A 3,042-nucleotide genomic window follows, 5' to 3' on the forward strand; every position below is an offset into this window, starting at 1 on the left:
TGGGAGAAAGAGGTAGGCTGGGAGGCTAGGCCAGTCTCTCCTTTTCACATTTTTCTGCCTGCTTCATATTCACTGGCAGCTGATTAGATTGTGCCCACCAGATTAAGGGTGGATTTGCCCTGTGCAGCCCACTGACTCAAATGTTAATCTCTTTTGGCAACACCCTCAGAGAACACCTAGGATCAATATTTTGTATCCTTCTATCTAATCAAGTTGACACTCAGTATTAACTGTCATACCCAGAGTGGCTGTTACTTCCCAAAAATATTCAGTCTGTAATTGATAAAGTGGGGTTTTTATCCTGGTATGTCAGACTTGTGGCTGAGACTTTCTGACACTTGTGAGGCTGGAAGGGAAAGAGGCAGTGGATAAAGTGGGCCTTGGCTTGTTCTCATAGGTTGCAATTAACATCTGAAGCACTTGCTTTCAACCTGAAGAACTTCATTATTTCTTGTGAGGTGGATCTACTAACAACAAATCCTCCCATTTTTATTTAACTGGGAATGTCTTTGCCTTCATTTCTGAAAGGTAGCTTTGCTGGATGTAGGATTCTTGGTTGATAGTTTTTTCTTTAAGCATTTTGAGTATTTAATCTTACTGCCTCCTGGCCTTCATTGTTTCTGCTGAGAAGTCAACTACCAATCTTACTGGGGTAAGTGATGAGACATTTTTCTCTTGCCACTTTCAAGATTTTCTCCTTGATCTTAGCCGGTTTTACTATGATGTAATCTGTTTGTGGATTCTTTACATATATCCTTCTTAGAATTCACTGAGCTTCCTGAGTGTGTAGGTTATTGTTTTTAAAATAAATTTGGGAAATTTTCTGCCATTATTTCTTTGACTATTTTTTCTGCTCCTCTCTATCTCTTCCTTTCATCTCCTCTCTATCTCTTCCTTTCTTCTAGTAGATCCCACTTAGGTTTGTGTGGCTGATGGTGTCCTACATTTGTCTGAAGCTCTATTTATTTTTCTTCACTCTTTCTTCTCTCTAGTCTTCATCTTGCATAATCACTATCAATCCTGTTTCAAATCTGCTAATTCTTTCTTCTGCCAGTTTAAATGTGCTATTGAACCTGCTAGTGATTTTTTCATGTCAGTTATTGTACTTTTCAGATTCAGAATTTCCATTTGGTTCTTTTAAAATAATTTCTATCTCTTTAATGATATTTTCTACTGGATGCAACATTGTTATCATACCTTTATTTTCTGAATCATGCTTTCTTTTAGTTCAGTAAACATATTATTTTTTTTCTCTGTAGAGATGGAGGTCTTGCTATGCTGACCAGGCTGGTCTCAAACTCCTGGCCTCAGGCAATCCTCCCGCTTCAGCTTTCCAAAGTGCTGGGATTACAGGTATGAGCCACCACACCTGGCCTGCAAACATATTTATAATGGGTATTTTGAAGTCTTTCTCTGTTAAATCCATCATGTGGTTGCTCTCACAGGCAGTTGGTGTTGTCTGCTTTTTTTCTGCTGTATGGGGCATACTTTCCTGTTTCTTTGCAGGTCTGTATTTGTCTGTTCTCACATTGTTATAAGGAAATAGCCGAGAGTGGGTAATTTATAAAGGAAAGAGGTTTAATTGACTCACAGTTCAGCATGGCTGGGGAGGCCTCAGGAAACATACAATCATGGCAGAAGGTGAAGGGGAAGCAAGGCACCTTCTTCACAAGGCAGCAGGAAGGAGAAGTGCAAGCAGGAGAAATGCTAGACGCTTATAAAACCATCAGATCATGTGGGACTCACTCACTATCACGAGGACAGCATGGGGGAAACCGCCCCCATGATCCAATTACCTCCACCTGGTCCCATCCTTGACACATGGGGATTATGGGGATTAAGGGGATTACAATTCAAGATGAGATTTTGGGTGGAGACATAGACAAACCATATCACATGCCTCATAAACTTTTTGCTGGAAATTGAAATCATTTCTGAGACATGGTCCCACTCTGTCACCCAGGCTGGAGTGCAGTGGTGCAATCATGGCTCACTGCAGCCTCGACCTCCTAGGTTCAAGTGATCCTTCCACCTCATCCTCCTGAGTAGCTGGGACTATCAGCGTGCACCATTCCACCTGGCTAATTTTTTTTATTACTTTTGTAGAGATGGGGGGTCTCTCTGTATTGCCCAGGCTGTTCTTGATCTCCTGGGCTCAAGTGATTCTTCCACCTTGGCCTCTCAAAGTGCTGGGATTACAGGTGTGAAGCATTATGCTTGGCCACAAAATTTTTGATAATATGTTGTAGCAACTGCCCCCAACCCTGGCCTCTGGGACTTGTTATTTGCTGGTATATTTTTTTTAGTGATTGGCTGGATTATTTTAATGAAGCTTATTCCTTCTCCTCATAGTCTTAAGCCTCTGATGTTGCTCTTCAGGAAGACATGACTTTGGGTGTGTACACCGTCACTCTAGGATGGCAGTGGTGTTAGTAGGGCTCTCTATCTTTCCCTTACCATGCCCAACTATTAAACTCCACTAATTGCCTGCTGATCATTCTATTGTTTTCAGCAATGCTCTAGGACATAAATTGTTCTACAAACTAATTCAATTAAATTGTGGTTTATTTGAAGGAATAGTTTTTGAGGTCCACGTCTGATATTTGTTCTGATACCAGGAGTGCTCTTACCAGCCATCTTATTTCCTGGTTTTCTCCTGAAAACTATCCAGCTTACAGGCCATGCTTTATCTTCATTAGATCCACAAATCTCAACTGCCTTGTATGACAACGTCCACTGTTCTTGAGAGCACTCTTAGCTTTGAACTTTACACTCTGTTGCAAATGAAGTCAATCCCTTTGGGAAGAGATTAGGAGCTACCTGTTTTGTAGCCTGTTCCTCCTCCAAGGCAAAATCTTTGAGCAAGAGCTCTAGAGACAAGGTGGGGACGGTGGCAAGCTTCTGCCTGAATGGCAACCCCTTTCTATGGGCTGAGGCCTTGGCAGAGTGGGGTGCAGCAGCCTAAGGTGCTCTCGGCTTGCCTCTTCAGCATGTAACCACCACCTCATGAGCGAGGCAAGGAAAACTTGAGCCGCGGTTTCC

The sequence above is a fragment of the Homo sapiens genome, chromosome X, assembly GCF_000001405.40.
Source record: "Homo sapiens chromosome X, GRCh38.p14 Primary Assembly".
NCBI classification, from domain to species: Eukaryota; Metazoa; Chordata; class Mammalia; order Primates; family Hominidae; genus Homo; species Homo sapiens.